This window comes from Homo sapiens, chromosome 9 (assembly GCF_000001405.40).
Source record: "Homo sapiens chromosome 9, GRCh38.p14 Primary Assembly".
NCBI lineage: Eukaryota > Metazoa > Chordata > Mammalia > Primates > Hominidae > Homo > Homo sapiens.
Window position 1 is genome coordinate 99,421,362 of NC_000009.12, and position 19,370 is coordinate 99,440,731.

At 41.5% G+C, this 19,370-nt stretch overlaps 1 long non-coding RNA gene across 2 annotated transcripts in view, besides 3 other annotated features; it reads right to left on the reverse strand.

The window, feature by feature from the left end:
* LOC107987011 (uncharacterized) overlaps positions 1–19,370 on the reverse strand; it is a 71,633-nt gene that overhangs the window by 32,722 nt on the left and 19,541 nt on the right. The gene's annotated exons all lie outside the window — the stretch shown is intronic.
* Positions 11,786–12,985: an enhancer, noted in NCBI's record as "P300/CBP strongly-dependent group 1 enhancer chr9:102195429-102196628 (GRCh37/hg19 assembly coordinates)". NCBI's record gives its function as "activates an origin of replication core promoter dependent on BRD2, BRD4, P300/CBP, MED14 and CDK7 cofactors, with strong dependence on P300/CBP, by STARR-seq in HCT116 cells {active_cell/tissue: HCT116}" and the evidence as "EXISTENCE:reporter gene assay evidence [ECO:0000049][PMID:35650434]".
* Positions 12,294–12,413: an enhancer, noted in NCBI's record as "active region_28710". NCBI's record gives its function as "activates an Ori minimal core promoter by ATAC-STARR-seq in GM12878 lymphoblastoid cells {active_cell/tissue: GM12878}" and the evidence as "EXISTENCE:reporter gene assay evidence [ECO:0000049][PMID:35858748]".
* Positions 12,424–12,503: an enhancer, noted in NCBI's record as "active region_28711". NCBI's record gives its function as "activates an Ori minimal core promoter by ATAC-STARR-seq in GM12878 lymphoblastoid cells {active_cell/tissue: GM12878}" and the evidence as "EXISTENCE:reporter gene assay evidence [ECO:0000049][PMID:35858748]".

Consider the following 19,370-nt stretch of genomic DNA (forward strand, 5'->3'; position numbering starts at 1 on the left):
TCACATACATATTAATATTTGGATCTGTTTTCTTGCCATCCCTGACTCTCACCAAGCACTAGGTCTAAATGAACAATAGAGAAGTATAGCAAAAAAGTCTCCTGAACGTCAGGGGCACTAGATCCTAGTCTGGTTCTGTCACTGGGTGACGGTGGGAAGTTTTCCAAATTACTTTCATGCTTTGGGACTCAATGTTCTCGTCTGTAAAATAGTGTCTGGTGGATGATCTCCAAAGTCCTTCCAGATTTAACATTCTAGGCTGCTGGATGAAGCATTGCAGTCTCACCTTGTGATAGCAATGAAAACACTTTGCTTCCCGATATGAAACAATGAAGTTAACACATCACCTCTGACCTGTTAGGGACCCCCAAAAGACATGTTTCACCTCCTTTGTCTTCAAACAGGTACAGAGCTGTCATTCCCATTTTACTACTGCTACAGACTGAATGTTTGTGTCCTTCTGAAAATTATATGTAAAGTCCTAATGTCCAAGGTGATGGTATTAGGAAGTGGGACCTTCAGGAAGCGATTAGGTCATGAGGGTGGAGCCCTCGTGAATGTAATTAATATCCTTATAAAAGTCAGCTCCTAGAGAACTCCCTTGCCCATTTGATCACGTGAGGACACTGCAAGGAGATGAATAGAGGGCCCTCACCAGACACTAACTCTTCCAGTGCCTTGATCTTGGACTTCCCGGCCTCCAGAACTATGGGAAATAAATTTCTGTTGTTTATAAGCCTGTAAACAACTACGGTGTTTTTATTATAGCAGTCCAAACAGGCTAAGACAACTACCGAGAACAGGAACAAGGTATCTAAGGTTTCTAGCCATGATTGATTCGAGGCCTGCCTGGGTAGCTTTCTCTGGATGGGCCAATATTTAAGAAATTAATTTTGTTTTCTGATTAATCAGTAATGCTAAAAAAAAAAAAAAGTCCAAATAGCCAAAGAGAATAACTAACATTTATTGCATGCTTACTACATACTAGACATTGTTCTAAAATCTTATCCGTATTAAGTCATTTAATATCACAACAAGCCTATGAAGTAGACACTATTAGTCTCCCATTTTACACATGAGGAAACTGAGGCACGGTGATTAAGCAACTGATCTGAAATCACATGGCTCGGAAGTGGCAGAACTGGGATAAAAAACTGGGTGGTTTGCGCTCTTAATCCCTTGCTGAAGACATGAAAAGATATAGATCTTCTACGTAATCAATAAAATGAAAACAAACTACATACTGTTTGTTTTAATCCATTAAGGCAGCAAAAATTTTAAAAATTTAAAAATTAGTAATAATATATAAAGTGGAGAAGTATAAAGGCAAATGGGTATTTTTCACATATTTCTGGTGGGGGTGTAGATGGGAATTGTAATACAAGTTGCTTTTTGTTTTTTGATGTCTTCCTAGAGTACCACACACTCATGTACAAGACTGCAGGATGTGATTAAATTGTAACAACTGAAAAAAAAAAATCACCTAGAGTTAGGGAGGGGAAACCAATCAAATTGTTTCAGGGTCACTAGGGGTAGGGCCTGAGCATTGGTTTTATTTTAAAGCTCCTCACGTGATTCTAGTGCTCAACCCGGACTGCAAGTCTCTCAGTTCGGTGAAATATTACGCTTTTTTTCTTTTTTTACTGAGACATATCTATATGTAACTGATGTGGATAGCAAATTGCAGAATATGAATGGTATGATGTCATTTATGTAGAAACAAAACAATACTGTGTAGTTCCATGGGCATATATACATATATGTGAGTACAGTAGTCCCTCCTTAGCTGCAGTTTTGCTTTCTGAGGTTTCAGTTACCATGGTCAACCAAGGTCTGCAAATCTTAAATTAAAAATTCCAGAAATAAACAATTCACAAGTTTTAATTGTGTGCCCTCTGGTTCCATCCCACCCAGGGCACAAATCATCCCTTTGTCCCGCCTACCCACCTTGCATCCACTATCCACCCATTATTATACAGGAAAAAGCACAGTGTATTTAGAGTTTGGTACTATCCGCTGTTTCAGGGATCCACTGGGGGTCTTGGAACATATACCCCAAGAATAAGTGGGGATAAGGGGGAACCACTGTATGTCCGAAATGTCTAGAGAGACGATGCCAACGTGGCATGTGGTTAATTCTGGGTAGTCGGGAGAATAACTGGATTTGAGGATGGTGGTCAGATTTTAGCCTTATCAGTAATATTTTTAATGTCTTACAGGTAGATAAAAGTAAAATTAAAAAGAACTTATAGATATTTCAAAAATGGGGACATGAAAGCAATACAAATGTAGAAAAAATATAAAATACCACCTAGAAAAATAAATTATTAAAATTTTGGTCTATTTATTTCCTATATTTTGTCTATGCTTGCATATAAATTTATTTTAACCCTTTCCCCCAATTTTATATAAAATAGAAATTATTTTATGTTGTTTTTTCCCTTGGCACAGGTTTTCTCCGTGGATGCTCCTGTAGCTTGTGCACCAATCCCCGATTTCCAGCCACCTCTCACTGTGCCCCCATCCCTGATTTTCCAGCCACCTCTCACTGCGCCCCCATCCCCGATTCCCCAGCCACCTCTCGCTGCGCCCCCATCCCCAATTTCCAGCCACCTCTCACTGTGCCCCCATCCCCGATTCCCCAGCCGCCTCTCTCTGTGCCCCCATCCCCGATTCTCCAGCCACCTCTCACTGTGTCCCAATCCCCAATTCCCCAGCCACCTCTCACTTTGCCCCCATCCCCGATTTCCCAGCCACCTCTCACTGCACCCCAATCTCCAATACTCCAGCCACCTGTCACTGTGTCCCTATCCCCGAGTCTCCAGCGACTTCTCACTGTGCCCAATCCCCAATTCTCCAGCCACCTCTCACTGTGCCCCCATCCCCGATTTCCAGCCACCTCTCACTGTGCCCCAATCCCCCATTCTCCAGCCACCTCTCACTGCGCCCCAATCCCCCATTCTCCAGCCACCTCTCACTGCGCCCCAATCCCCGATTCTCCAGCCACCTCTCACTGCGCCCCAATCCCCCATTCTCCAGCCACCTCTCACTGCGCCCCAATCCCTGATTCTCCAGCCACCTCTCACTGCGCTCCAATCCCTGATTCTCCAGCCACCTCTCACTGCGCTCCAATCCCCGATTTCCCAGCCACCTCTCATTGCGCCCCAATCCCCGATTCCCCAGCCACCTCTCACTGTGCCCCCATCCCCGATTCCCCAGCCACCTCTCACTGTACCCCATCCCCAATTTCCAGCCACCTCTCACCGTACCCCAATCCCCGATTCCCCAGCCACCTCTCACTGTACCCCAATCCCTGATTTTCCAGCCACCTCTCAGGCCCTCCATGAAAGCCTGGGTAGGGGTGTGAGCTAGGGTGTGGTCCATAGCTGGGGTAGGGACCATAACATCACATGGATAATCGCTTATTGGGGTTTGCAGAATTCCCCTAGCCCAGCCAGAGGGCCTGGTATGATAGGGGATTTAAAGTGTTGGAAAACAGAAACCCGGAAACAACTCCTTTTAGAGTATGAGTTTATGACTTGATTTTCACACACATTTTCACTCTGTGTGAAAGTAGGGGGTCACTCATGTTTGACTTCATCCCCCCAAACGGGATGGAACTGTGCAAAAAAACAAGAACCAGCTTATATGATTGAAAAGGGAACAATCTGACATCGCTAACCCTCTAAGGGGCTGTGACTACTTCCAGTCTGCAGGTCCACAATTTAACTCAATTGGCGCACTGCAAAGTGTCTGTTCTGTGGCTTATTTCAAGCACCACACATGCTAATGAAGCAGCTCCTTTGTGCTAGGCACTGGGAAGGGCACAGGATGGAGACAAAATATTAAAGACCTTGTTGCTGGTCTTTGGCTCCTGTGGTCCAGAAGGGAAGATGTTTACATGAAGAGTCTTGATTCAAGGCAGATTGTGATGTGCACTGTCACTACCAGAGCCCTAATCAATCTGTCACACTTGAGTGTTATAATGGGAATAATAGGATGAAATTCTGCTATCCTTACATTCATACACATGAAGGGAATGGGAGCCATTTTTCTAATTGGCTTGCATGGATTCATTCTTGAACTCAAAAAGAAGTCACAACCCTACTGTGGCTGGAATGTCCTCTCTATGTTCATTCATGGGGCTGTCTAGAGAAGTATGGCTGCATTTTAACTCCAGGTCAAGGGAGGCTAACATTAAATACAGCCCCTTAATACCTGGGAGGCTGTGTGAGTTTTAATCTTTCTGGACTCCATTTCCTCATCTGTTCTCTTTTGAGAAACAAATGAGTTAATGGATGTGAAAGCAGGTTCCACATTTTAAACAGCTATAGAAATGCCAGGCTGTTAAATAGATTTTCATCAGAGCTGCAGGTTTATCGAATGTTTATATTTAATCCTTGGAGACCCTCGCTTTTATTTGAAATGCAGTATTCATCTGCTCATTTTTTTGTGAGACTAATCTTTTTATCCAATGTCTTGAGTCTGTTTGCTAGAAAGCTGTCTAGGTGACAATGTTAATATTCAAGAGCCAATCTGAAAACACTTTCCATCTAAGAAGTGTTAAAAATCACAAATGTGTATCTTTTTAAAAATTGACTTTATCCATTGTTTTACAACCTTGGTGAAAATATTGCCAGTTTTTAACATATGCCTGCTATGAATATTTCTGCTGCTCTTTCTTCATGGGTCTGAATGTAGTTCTTGATTTATTCCTTTTAAATAACCTGGTAATCCCTGGAGGAATATCACAATCTATAAGTAGCACTATTTACAATAAGATGGATTTTCCTATCTTGCTAATTAGAGTATTAATTTCCATTTACAAGTGGTTAATTCCTAGCATCAATCCTTGTCCTGTCACTGGATGGGGTCATTATTTTCAGAGAAAGCCCCAGGAATGTCTTTTCTAGTCCAATCTTCAGTTATGTTACCACATAACAGAAAAGGAGAGGAGAAAAATAATGTCATTTCCTTGGTGTTAGACTAAGCAGGCATAAAATCACTTAGGTTTATTTAACACACTCTTCACACAAACAGAACTGCAGCAGTCTGGATTTCATCAGTTTCTCAAAATCATTTTGATTGTCCTCTCTGCTTTATCCTTCTACAACCAAACCAAATCTCATCTGTGCACCAGGTATAAAAGCATTACCATCATCATTGCAATATGTATATTCCCATTCCACTCCCCTTGCAAATTTCACTCCATCTCCAGGTGTGAGAAGAAAATCGTGCAGCAAAAAAATTTCCCCACATGCTCTGTTTCTCTGCTTTGAACCCTCAGCCACAGCTGCCAGCAGGGGCACCTCAAGAGCTTTCAGGAATTCAATCAGTTCCTAGATAAGAGCATAACAAGATATTATCTTTCACACTGCTTTTCTCTATGACTTGGATTTTCTACTTATTGAGTAGTCTAATAATTTCCTTTCTGATGGGACACAGGGGAAACAAAACCATGAGGATGCTTCTAGGGCTGGAGTTCAGGAGTTTAGGAACCCCCACAAAACAGGCTGGCCCTTTCCCCTTGTCTCTTATTATTGGCTTCAGGACAATGGAGATCGGAGGATGATCAAGATGTAAAAAGCAGCAGAGACAAAAGTCAAGGTAAGGAATGTAAACCTGAGCTGTACAGAGGAGGACCCAGAATCCAGTGACCAGGCTGCAGTGATGGGCAGTGTTGGCCATAGGACACTGGTCCAGAGTCAGTTCTTGGAACCTATGTAGGCTTCTCATAACATTTCGTCTTTGTCCTCAAATTTCAGAGCAGGGACCAGGGACTTCAGAAGTCATCTAGTCTTTTCTTCTCTCTTGATTTGTAACTCACAGTTTTCAAGGCACAGGAATTCTAGATGTAAATAAGCCTAAAGAATGACCCATCCTACTTGGAGCAGGGGGACTGAGGGCTGAGGAGAGATGTTTTGAAGAACAGAATGGAACTAATGAAGGATTCAGTGTGTCTGAATGTTTTAATAGGAGTTTTACAGCTTGGTCAGAGAACTTGGGAAAAAATTAATGATAAATACACAGAGAACTATGCAAATTTCTAAAAAGAGGCACTTACCAACTCTAAGAAAAAATGTACAAGAAAGGAAATGAAACCATAGTACACTCTATAGCTCAGCTGTAAGTGTAGTTTATAGGATCATGACATTGTAAACACTAAATAATGATCTAACCAAATATTGTAATGTGATTATGTTAGGAAGATGGGAGAAGAAGGGTGTGAATGGAGAGGCAGTGAGGAAGAGAAGTAAGTCAAAACTTCCTTAACAGGAATCTAATAGATGGTATCTAAAATGGAAGAAAAGAACTATACCTTTTATTTCAAAATTGGAGGGTAAATTCAGAAGAAATCACTATACAATTTAAAGTGCTTGCTACTTGAGGTGGAGCAGTAGTCCTCTGGGGTAAAGACTTTTTTTTTTTTTCCATAATAAATCTTGTAGTTCTACGTTAAAGGACATGGACTTTTTAAAGGATGTTTGTGCATTTTAAAGGGAGTCACTAGGACTGTCCATAAATATTCAATGTGCTGTTGAACTTAGGTGATGCCAAGTGATGTGCTTTGGTTAATGAAATGGGCCTGGAAGTGGGGCTTCAAGAATGAGCACACAATCCACCACTTTCCTTCTATCTTGGTGTTTGTGGATGATGGAGCTGGATTTTCCCTGCCCTGTGGTCCCTGTGTAAGAACAGCACAGAGCAGAGCCCTGCAGTCACCCTATGACTGACATGGAGTATGAGTAAAATGAGGGCTTTTGTAGTTTTAAGGCGTGGAAGGTGGATGTTTGCCAATGCTTATAACTTAGCATCTCTGACTGCTATAATCACTTCAATTAAAGTAGACTCAAGTAAAAAAGTGAAAAGATGAAAATAGCCAATTCTACCTATGTCACTGAGTGTGGAGCAAAGGGTGGAGAAATAAGAATCAGAAAAAACAACTGTGAAAAAGACTTCTAGGTATTTCACATATCATATATATATCTAAGCACACAGTGTATATACACATAAACAGAAATTTCAAAATGCATAAATTATATAGTATTTTTATAACACTATAAATAGATAACACATGAATTATATATATACAAAACATGTAGATTATATAGTACATAATCTAGTAACATAACAACGTTACTAGATTATGTACTATATAATCAGATTATCTAGATTATCAGATTATCTAGATTATGTACTATATAATCTATTTTTTTATATATATAAATATACATAATTCTGCATATGTATATAGGCAGAATAATGGCCCTGAAAGATGTCCACTTCCTAACTTTTAGAACGTGGGAAATATGGTACCTTACATGGCAAAAGAGACCTTGACAGGTATGACTAAGGTGAAGGACCTTGAAATGGGGGGATTATACTGGATTATTCTTGTGGGCCTAATCTAATTACATGCATCCTGAAAAGCAGAGAACCGTTCTTGTCTGCAGAAAGCCAAAGAGATGGTTGTGTGAGATGGACTCTGTTTTCTGCTGCTGGCTTTGAAGATAGAAGGGGCCACAAGCCAAGGGAAGCAATTGATGGCTAGATCTGAAAAAGGCAAATAAATGGATTTCCCACTACTGTCTCCAGAAAGAAATGTAGCCCTGACAACACCTTCATTTCAGCCTCATGAGATTGGTGTTGGAATTCTGACCTAAAGAATTCAAAAATACTAAATTCGCATTTTTTAAGTCACTAAGTTTGTGGTAATTTATTATGTCAACAATAGAAAACATCCACACACACACGCACACACATACACAAATTTTAATGGAAACCAAATTGGGATTTTGAAAAGTTAAATATAAAATTAAAATTTTAAAAATTGTCAACATGTTTAGAAATAGAAATGGAATGCTTATAGTAGGCCTTAAAAATAAAAATATATTGGCCGGGGGTGGTGGCTCATGCCTGTAGTCCCAGCACTTTGGGAGGCCAAGGCAGGAAGATCACAAGGTCAGGAGTTTGAGACCAGCCTGGCCAGCATGGTGAAACCCCCGTCTCTACTACAAAAAAAAAAAAAAAAAAAAAAAAAAAGCCAGGTGTAGTGGCACATGCCTATAATCCCAGCTACTTGGGAGGCTGAGGCAGGAGAATTGCTGGACCCTGGGAGGCAGCGGTTGCAGTGAGCCGAGATCATGCCACTGCACTCCAGCCTGGGTGACAGAGCAAGACTCTGTCTCAAAAAATAAATAAATAAATAAATAAATAAAATATATATATATGAATAATAATATCTTCCAAAAATGTACTGGTAAAAAAATCTAGGGTATAAATTTGAACTCTGTTACTTGCAGGGTAAATTTGAACAATTCACCTGACATCTCTGGGCCTCAATTTTCTCATCTGTAGCAACAATAGAATAAAGATTAAGTACATGAACATGCTGTTACTATTTGTTTAGGACAAACAAACCTATGTAATAGGTGATCATTAAATGCACCAAACCAGTAACAAAAACAACCTACTTCACTTGTGTGTGAGTCCCAATTCTACAACTTATTAATTGTTTTAGTCATTTACTATTTATAATTCTCAACTTCTTCATATATTTATGGAGATAATAAGACCTTTTGCATTTGCTGTGATGGTCAAATGAGATAGTGTTTTAATAAACACACATAGAGAAATAATCTTTTTAGAGGCCAATACAACACTGAAATGGAGGGAGCAAGAGTGGAAGCTGGGAGACAAATTAGAAGGGTAGGGTTATATCAAGGAGAATGGCAATGTTGACTTTGGACAAGGATATAAACCTAGAAAGTCAACATGTTCATTATCTGGACAGATTGATTAAAATACTTCACATCTCTGTGACCAACATCATATGGACATATATGAAAAGTCATGTCATAATTAGAATATCATGTGATGAATGTGGAATCAGGCCAAGGAGGAATGTCAGTCCACTGAGGCTGCTATAACAAAATGCCATAAACTGGCTGGTTTCTAAAAAACAGAAGTTTATTTCTCACAGTTCTGGAGGCTGGGAAGTCTAAGATTGAGTCACAGGGCACTGGCAGATTCAGTGTGGTGAGGACCTGCTTTGTGGTTCCTAGTTGGCTGTGTTTTCATTGTGTCCTCACAAGGCGGAAGTGGAGAACTCTGGTCTCTTTAGCCTCTTGTAAGGGCACAAACGCCATTCATGGGCTCTCCACTCATATGACTTAATCATCTCCCAAAGGCTCCACCCCTTAATACTATCACACTGAGAACTGAGTTTTAGTATATAAATTTTGAGAGAATACAAACATTCAGACCACAGCAGGGGGTTAGTCAGAAGGATCTAATGTTTAGTGGTCAAGTGTTGAGAGGATACATTCTTCAACAATAAGGATGAATTTGCCGAGAAAACAGGGATGTTCTAAGTCCGTTGGACACAATCCCTTGTGTGCATCTTCACATTCAGTATACCCTTCCCATTAGGGCTGTTGACCAAGGCTCTCTTGTCCATGGAGAGCAATAGATGGCCAATAATAGTGTAAGTCCCTATGATTCTCCTACTCCTACTGGCTCCCATTGCTGGCAGGCTGCTGATTGGCACATTTTTTGCTTCAGCTAGGTTCATATATTTAATCACACAATGGTCAAGGCTGGCCCCACAGGGCCGTTAAGTCAATAATTTTCAAAAGTTTTACCATGGCTCATTGAATAGAGTAAAAATCACACAAAATCACCCACTCTACCCCTTTCCACTTCCCAGCAGATAAAGAATATTGTGATCAAAATGAGAGAGGAACAACATAGTATTCAAATCATAACAATTCAGCAATTACCCCCAAAGGGTATCTATAAGGATAAGACCTGTATATAATTTTACAAAGTGCTTTAATTAATTAAAGAATAACAGCAATTGGAAGTCAGATCCAATTCATGACAGCTATGATGATGCACTGATAACAACACATCCTGCCTAAGCATCTTGGGAATTCCAACTCTTTGTTTTCTGTGCGGTGTTGGACATTTGCCATGCTGCTCAGTACTGTGTGTAGCAGCTAGACTTCTTATTAGAACACCAAGTTAGAGTTCTTAATAAACCCTGGCTCCTTTTTTTATAAATATCAGATCATAATATCTTTCAATGACCAACTTATTCATTTTCTGTTTCCCTTAGCTATAAATAAATACAGTAATAAATAACATCTCTTAAGTATTTACTTTGTTCCAGAAAGTCTCCAAAGAGCTTTTTGTGCATTAAAAAATGAGCATTCATGGTATTTCCAATCATTCATTGGTAAGAAGAAAGTAATTACATTTTTGGTTTAGCTTGTAGCCTGTCAGAAGCCCCCATAAACACTGCTTTAAGGTAATTTGGTGTGTCTCTGTCCTAAGCCATATGTACTAACTTTGAAGTTTGACTCCCAAAAGCCAATTTTATTTTCCTTAGTTTGAAATTTGGAGAACTATTTTTTGTTGTCTCCAAATCCTGACCACAGTATATAAAAACATTTGCCAACTATTAACTATTGCACATAAGTAAAGGTTTTAGACTGGAGACTGGCACTAACACTCCCATCGCCATTTAAAAATAAGGAAACGGAGGCCCAAACAGAAAATAACAGGAGATATGATGTTTTCAAGGCCACTCAGTGAACAGGCAGAAGAGTCGGAACCAGACCCCCGTCCCCTCCTTTCAGCACCTTGCAGAGAGCTCCAAAATACTGAAATCATGTTCAGCCTTTCCTGGCCCATTTTCCACATACAGTATTATCAGAAAAGCAATTTTCTCCTTCTCCTGATCTTAGCTTAACAAATGACCCAAAAACTTTTAGAAATTTAAAACAACAAACATTTATCATACAGTTTCTGAGGGTCAGGAATCCAAGAGTGGCTTAGTTAGGTGCTTCTGGCTCTGGGCCTCTCACGGGGCTGCAGATAAGGTGTCGGCCAGGGCTGCATCATCTAAGGCTTGACTAGGCTGCAGAACCTGTATCCATGCTCACTCATGCGCCTGATGGCTGGAGGCCTCAGTTTCTCACCACACGGGCCTCTCCATAGGACTGCTCATGGCATGGCTAATGATCAGAAACAAATGTCAAACTGAAGAGCTTGAACTTTATTCTACACAAAATGGGGAGCCACTGATGATTGATGAGAATAGCTAAGAGTCTTTTCCAAAGCCTTTTTTAAGGATTCATTGATGTCAGTCTACTGTTTAATTCTCTGGGCTGAGGCCATTCTATGTTGACTAAAATACCACTATGAATAGCCAACAGAAACTCAATAAAACAAAATTTGGTAGCATAAATCCTGCAAACACCCTATGGTGACACATAAACATTACTGAAAGAGAAGCAGGGGATAACATACTAAGTGTCTCATTAGAATGAGAAGAAAAAAAGATTTATTTTTGAATTTTTCCTTTTACAAAATTTAGAATCACAAATCCTTTGACTTTGAATTAAAAAAGAACTTCGAAACGATCTAGAGCAATGTCAGCTGATGACACCAGATCTGTGTTTCTAGCTTCAAGCACTCCTCTGGGCATGAGACTGGTTTATTCAGCTCATGGACACGTCAGTTGGTTGAACATGGATGCTTCCATTTCAATAGGTCAGAAATTCGATTCATCATTTCCCACCCCCCTTCTGCTTTGGGTGTTTTATTTAATTAAATCATCAGGTGCCCAGTCACCCAACCCAGGAGCCAGCAGGCCATCCTCTGTAGAATGCGGGAAGTGCGTTCCTACAGTGGACATCACCTACTGATCCTGCATCTAAAACACCTCTATGCTTCTCTCCCTCTCTCATGCTCTTGAATCCACTGCTCCTCCCACATACTGGCTTCGTTATCTCTCCCCTGCCTCTTCTGCCTTCAGTGCTTTAGGAATATATTGCCTAGCATGAAATATTCTTCTCTCTTGCCTGAATGGAAAATTCTTTGTTCTTTCAAGACCCGGTTCAAATATCACTTCCTCTCTGTGTTATTAACCTACGCTTGATCTGCACTCCCCACAAATTATTGTCAATGTCTAACATCATGGCTGTGTACATATCCTCTCTTCCACAAAACAATGTACTCTTTTTATTTTATAGTTTGGGAAACTCTGGCCCCCAAACACTAAGACTAAGTGACGTACTGAAGTTCAAGTTCACTCAGTTTGTCAACAGCAGATCCAGGACTACAAGATAACCTAGGAACAGAGCTCATCCCCATGGCCCCCCTATGATAAAATGTCCCCTGCTTTTTTAGCCATAGCAAGTATCTGCTGGGCTGAGGCCTTGGTTGTCTTTGAGAGTGAGGCTGTACCCCTCAAGGATGTGTCCTGTGTTGAGGGTAGCAGGGCCTGCCTGCAAATATCCGGGTCAGCAGGCCAGGAGAGTTCACACTGAGGGGCTGGGCAGGGGTGTTCAGGCTTTGCTCACAGGATGACTCACGGAGAGGAAGTGCCACTCAGATTTGTGAGTCACCCTCTTGGGCTCCACAGAGGCCCTGTCACGCAGGAGCCTGTCAGCTTTCATCTCCATCTCTCCAACCCCTAGGGCCAAAAGTCAAACTTGGTTTCTGCTTACTTGTTTGATTTTTAGTGGCTCCTCCAGCTCCAGAACCTTTAGCAAGCAGCTTCCTTTGAAAGTTTAAGATGGAAATCTCTAAGCTGGCCCTGTGCTTCCCCTGACAAGTGTGTAATCGATGGGAAATCTCTCACTGGAGGCTATCCTATCTGGAGTCTTGATAAAAGGCACTTTCAGAGAGGTGAAAGGCTCTTAGAGACCTTTTACAAAGAACTAAGCTGGCCTAAAATTGTCACCTTTATCCTCCCAGGTGACCATTCACTATCACCAACTCTCTGGCAGAGAAAAATGTGAGGATACAAACACAAAGAAAATCACTCCCTTAATACACACGGGGTAGAATCCTCTTTGGGTCAGACAGAAAAGCAGTGACTTGGGAGAAAATTGTGAAGGGTGGTTGGATGCTAGGAGCTGACTGGGCTGCATCTTTGAGCTTTAGTTCTACCCTTCCAAGTCTCCTGTCCTCCTTGAAGTTCTCTGCTTTTGATTTCTGTGGCCACCAGCACATATGGCCCTGTTTCTCTTGAACATACTTGAAATGGGCCAATACTTTCTAAAAGGCTTTACTAACACACTGAAGAAATGAACATAGAGAAATACCAATGGCATTGAGAACAATCCAGTTTACTCACAACTATATCTTGGGCCTAAGAATCCCAGAGCAAGCATAGGAGACCTTCATCAAGCTTTCCCAAAGCCCCTATTCAATTCCACCCTCTGCCTTGCTTCTTCTCCAACATTCCTGCCCTTCCCTCAGCCATAAGGCTTCTGGGTACCATTTTGTTTTCTGGCACCTGGAAGATAGTATGAAGGATCCTCTTGTTCAAACCAAATCAGAGGAGGGAAGACCAGTGAACAGATAATTGAACGCTGAATTAAAGCAGTGCAGGTGGAGCGAGGCAGCAGTATAAAGACAAAATAAACATTTAGGAGTTGGAATAGATGGAATCTGGGGACCTGTTAGACCTGGAGTGGAAAGATTGAATCTTTTTTTTTCTTGTTTTATAAGTTATCTGTCAAACTCAAGCTGGGATTTCCAATACCATTTGGATGTTGGAAATAGTATTGCTAAAAAACAAATTAACATCAGAAACAGGAGAAGCACAGAGAGATACAAGAGATAGAGAAATTTTGTTATTAATAAAGATATATGTAACAGGGTGTCACTTTTTAAAAAATCTAATTTGTTGTTATAAGTTACATAGTATAAAATGCCTAAATTTTAAGTGTACAGATTGTGAGTTTTGACAAATGTATATACCCGTATAATTATCACCTCAATCCGCAAACAAAACATTTCCATCACCTCAAAATATTCAAAATGTCTTGCCCAGTCAATAACCCCACCTCCATCCCCAGGCAACCAACGATCTGCTTTCTGTCACTATAGATTAATTTTGCATGTTCTAGAACATCACAGAAGTAGAACCATACAGCACATAATCTGTTGTGTCTGGCCATCTTTCACTCAGCATTATGTTTTTGAGATTCATTCCCATGTATCAGCAGTTCATTTCGTTTTGCTGCTGACTAATATTCCACTGTTTGGCTATATCACAGTTTGTTTATCCACTCACCTACTGATGGATGTTTGGATTACTTCTAGTTTTTAGCTATTAAAAATAAAGCTGCTATGAATGTTTGCATACACTTCTTTGGGTGTATTTCCACATATTTCCATTCCCCTGGGGAAAAACCTGAGTGGAATTGTTAGGTCACATGTTAGGCATACATTTAACTTTATAAGAAAATGGCAGCAATTTTTTTAACCAATAGAACACTTTTTATCATTATTTGCCACAATTCAAGGATGAGGAAAAAATAAATTTAGCCCAATCCTACTTGAATTAAGTTAGTGGGTCCTGAATTAAAAAGATTAAGTAATTATAAAATGTTAGTCTAAAAAATATTTCTATAAAAAGTGTTTCTAAAAAAGTATGATGTACACCAAGGGGGGGAAATTTTTGTGAACTTGGTATATTTTCTCCAGAAATGACCAGCACAACATTGTTATTTTATTAATGGGATTCAATTATATAATGTACAACTGTGAAGGGCTCCACACACATACATGGGGTATTGTCATTTTACTCTAATGGAAGCTGTTAGGGGACTTGCAGCATTGTTTTGCTTATAAAATCATGTGGACCCAATGTATGCTGGGATATCATCCTTCTGAGTTCACTCAGCCAGAAAGTTGAGCATGTATGTTGCCAGGTAAGCCGGCAACTTGGAAAATTATAGCTCCACTGTTCTTAAGGGTTCCCCTGTGGTTGGGAGCCTTAACATTGCCCCCAAGGGGCCTAACATCTCCAGGATCAGCCTAATCATTGGCTCAGTAATTTCTTTAGAAGCTGATTGACAGCAGGTGCCAATCTAGATAATCACCAGAGAGCTCCAATTAAAAGCTCTACCCATCGATCCCAACCGCCAGGACTTGGGACTTTAATACAAATCCACAAGTAAAAAAAGTTACCCCCTAAGAAAAAAAAAAAGCAGCATTTTTGTGGATGCACCATATTATATGGCGAGGTTATACATTATTTATAATTCATAGATGCATTTTTAATTTATCCTCCTAAATGTTGCATTGTTAGTCTAATAAGGTTGGTATTCAGATCCTTTCTTTTTCAATTCTCCACCTTGGAAAGGGACATTAGTCTGGAAGAAAATATAAATGAAAAAGTATTTTTAGCACTGACAAAAATAGGAACCATTTGTAAGTAATTTGTTCTATTGTAATTGCCGGGGACTTCATTAACCACCTAAGGAGGAAGTGCCCAATGTTTTTACTAGTCTTCCAGATAAGACCAAGTTTAAAACACACACTCTCTATTGGGATTATGTGAAGATGTTAAAACTTCACCAGAAAGGTGACAAGGTGTCTTGATAATTGAGGCAATCTTGGAAGTCGGTTGGTGTGTCCAACAGCTATGAACTAATAGTGGCTAATCAAACACAGCAGGTCTCACAGATACCAGCAAATGCCAAACAGCTTCTTGTATGCACGGAATTCAGTCTTAATTAGTCACAGAGGAGGAATAGGCACATTTAAACTAATCCGAGGAATCATTATTGTTTGAGTTGCTTACACACAAACATGAAAACTGCTGCCCTCAAAACAATCAGTTCCCGCCTGCAAAGGGAGGGTGTACAAGATAGTCCACTGACCTTTATAAAAAGGACTGTCCAGAGGAGGATTCTCTCCAACATGTCTCCTTTTTATTATATCCTGGGCCTATTTCTCAGTAGCTCTATCTCACCTGGTAAATAATATATGTATGGTGCATGTTAACTCGAGAGTGGCTACTGACAAGAAATATAAATGAACTTTTAAATTGTTTGGATAGTTTGATGGATGAAGAGCTATAAGTACCAGTGGCAGAGAGTGAGATAGACATGACTATTAAGGCAGGCTTTCCACAGCTGTCCTGTAACAGGTGTGTCAACTGGGGATTTTCCTGTTGCCCCAGGACTGCTGCCAAGACCCTGAATGGAGAGAGCAAAAGGCACTTGGTGCTCCACTTTGGATGTTCAGGCCCAGCCACAACAACACGGACTTACTGAGAGTGCTAATTCCGGAATCATCTGCCAGATCCACCACCCATACCCAAACTCCATAGGAAGAAAAGACCTGAAGCTTGAGAGAGGATCAGCCTTGTGGTAGTGCTGCATTTGTGGAGACAGGCTATTCCCTTCCCATAAGGCTAAGGGGGTTCTTCCTGCTCTTAGACTCTCTTGAGGTTATGTGTTTTCCTTCTCTAAGTATTCACAAAGAAAGGAGATGCCTGCAAGGAGAAGAGCCAGCATTTCATTTCTTTATCACTGCTCAGGCTGTGTAATCTGAATGAGAAAAAGAGACAGTCTCCCCAGCCTCCTCATATGTGGAGGTCCCTGACTGCCCTCATGTAGAGGACAATGAGGCATCCATATCAGAGGAACATTGTGAGAAGTCCACTAGCTGGGGTTCAGTTGAAACTTGCTGCCAAACTTTTCAAGGGACCTCTAATGGCCAAAGGAGCTTCCTGGACACAAGTCCCTAATCAACCTGTCATGTTGAAGCCACCACTGTCCTATCAAAACTGCAGAAGATGAGTTTGACTTTCCGTGAGCCACCCCGGAGGCTACAACCTTACCCAGTTAAATAAAGAGACATCTTCTCTTTCCTTTCCCCTCCTCCCTCGCCCAAACCAAAAGCCTCAGCACCCAGAAGATGGAAGGGAAGGTGGTGTTTGAAACCACACCCAGCCTCCCTTCACCCCCTCCCAAACATATAGGATCAAGGCGCTTGCTGCTGTGAGGGCCCATTCCTTCTCTGTCCCTGGATGCAAGTCTAGGCAAGTCCCTTAACCTTTCTAGGAACTCACAGATAACAAAAAGTCCCGATGCTTCCAATCACAAAGACATTCTCCTCTCAGTAAATAAAATGAACAGTTGAAATGCAACTGTTGAAACTTTACTGCATTCAAAGTTAAAGCTCTCTGTTTCTCTCCCTCACCCACCATCTCTGGCCTGCCTCAAACTTGGAGACCCATGGCGGGTCAGCTTCTTTCCTGTTGTTTCCCCACCTTGGTCTTCTATTTCTTACCCCCTCACTGGGCTGTCTCTTGCCCTCTTAGGGCTGGAAATAAGAGGGGGAAAGTGGAGAGGGAGTGCAGAGAGAAGAATAGACAGGAAATGTGCTCCCTGGCTGGCACAGACACAGTCAGGTGCCGGTGCCCTTTGAGCAGAGCAGAGTCCCAGTGCTGATTCTGTCCCCAAGGGGTGCTTTCATGATGTCCCTGAGACATTCTCCTTTGCAGCCTCTGACTGCATCCCGCCTGATGTGAGTGAAGCTTCCCCTCAACCGCTGTGTATATGGAGGATCTTTCTATTGCCCTTCTGGGAAATCCTCTTTGAGGGAATCCAGGATGACTCCAAGCTGACTCCCTCCCTTGTGACCATGTCTGGATCTGGTCCCTGAGATACTCTCATCCACCCAGCACCCCACTACTCATAGAGGTGCAGCTTGCTCCCAACACAGTTTCCATTTATTGCCATAGATTCTTTCAAGCAGGCTCTTGCCTATGTGTGTGTTTTTTTCTTTTTTTAGGCCTGGGCCTGGCATTAAATTCTGTGCTACAGAACTTCAAGAATCACAGGTCAAATTGCCTGAATGGTTCTCTTAAGGCTCCCTCTCTCAGTAGGGAGAAAAAACCCAACCCCGCTCCTTGTGAAGTAAGGGAAAAAAAGCTGCATTGCATAACCAATTTTCTCCAAAGAGGTTCTCTCTTAGCCCCTCCAGCTTCAACCTTCTTATGCCTTCAGGGTGGGTGATGGGCTAAGAATCAGCAAACTGTTGTTGTTGTTGTTTTAAAAAAAAAACAACAGGTCTTTTTAAGACCTGCACAGTCTATTCCAACACTCTGCTTAAGGATGTAGAGATACTTGAGACTATTACTTTGTTCTTAGCCAGCCATTGTGACCTCAAACAAAACACAGACAGAAAGAGCCTTGTTTTAACATCCTGTTATCAACTGCTAGGATGTGAACACATTCCCTTATCTCACCTTACTTTAGTAAAGTCTACTACACTCGGTACTAATAAGTACAATGAAGAGGTGAAGACGATATGTGTTTGAGAATAATACATCAATGAGGGAAGGAATTAGAGCTAGAGGTAGCCCTGGAACATAAGCCATCCAGAATTCATAGATATCTTAGGAGGAGGAAAGGACATTGAACTTCCCACAGAATATGGGCAAAGTATCAGGCTAGGTGTGGTGGCTCATACCTGTAATCCCAGGACTTTGGGAGGCCGAAGTGGGAGGATCACTTGAGGACAGGAGTTTGAGACCAGTCTGGGCAACATAAGATGACTCTGTCTCTACCAAAAATAAAAATAGCCAGGAGTGGTGACATGTGCCTGTAGTCCTAGCTACTTGAGAGACTGAGGCAGGAGGATCCTTTAAACCTAGGAATTTGAGGCTGCAGTGAACTGTGATCACACCACTGCACTTAAGCCTGGGTAACAGAAAGAAAAGAAGGAAAGAAGGAAAGAAAGAAGGAAGGAAGGAAGGGAGGAAGGGAGGGAGAGAGGGAAGGAGGGAGGGAAGGAAGGGACTCAAGCCAACATTACTCTATTCTGAATTCTCTGTCAGTCATTTTATATATCTCCTTTTCTTCTGGGCCTATTACTGGAGATTTATTAGTTTCTTTTGGTGATATTATATTTTCTGACTTTTTATAATCCTTGTGTCCTTACATTGCTGCTTGTGCATTTGAGCAGATGGTCACCTCTTCTAGCCTTTGCAGGTGTTCTTTGATGGTGACAGACTTTTACTATTTAGGGCTGGGGATTCTGGATGGGCTATCTGGTTGCAACCCCAGATGGGTAGACCTTGTTGTCAGGCTCCCTAGTTGGACTGGATCACTTCCTTTGTTCTAAGGTCAAATGGCATTACTGGCTGTGCTCTGTGGTTTGGTGAGACCACTGGCTAGACTCTGTCATTAAGAGGGGCTTCTGGCTAGGCTCTTTGATTGTTTCTGATTGGAGAGAGTTCCAGGTTGTCTCCTCCGGTTGTGTAGTACAGTTTTTGGAAATCTGTACCATATTTCCTGTGGTGTGATGTTGTTGGCTAGTTTCTCTGGTGTCACTTAATTGGCTGGAATGCAGAGCAACCATCAGGATCCCTCTGCTGGTCGCTGTGAGCCCCACCTCCATTTTTTGTCTCCAACTGGTCTAGCCCTGCCAGCATTCTCAATGTTTTAGGACAAGACAGGAGTGAACCTCCTACAAAGGGTCCTAGAATGATGGGGAAGCCCAATGACTGCTTCTAATTCACCCCTCCCACTGCAGAAACCATGGGCCCA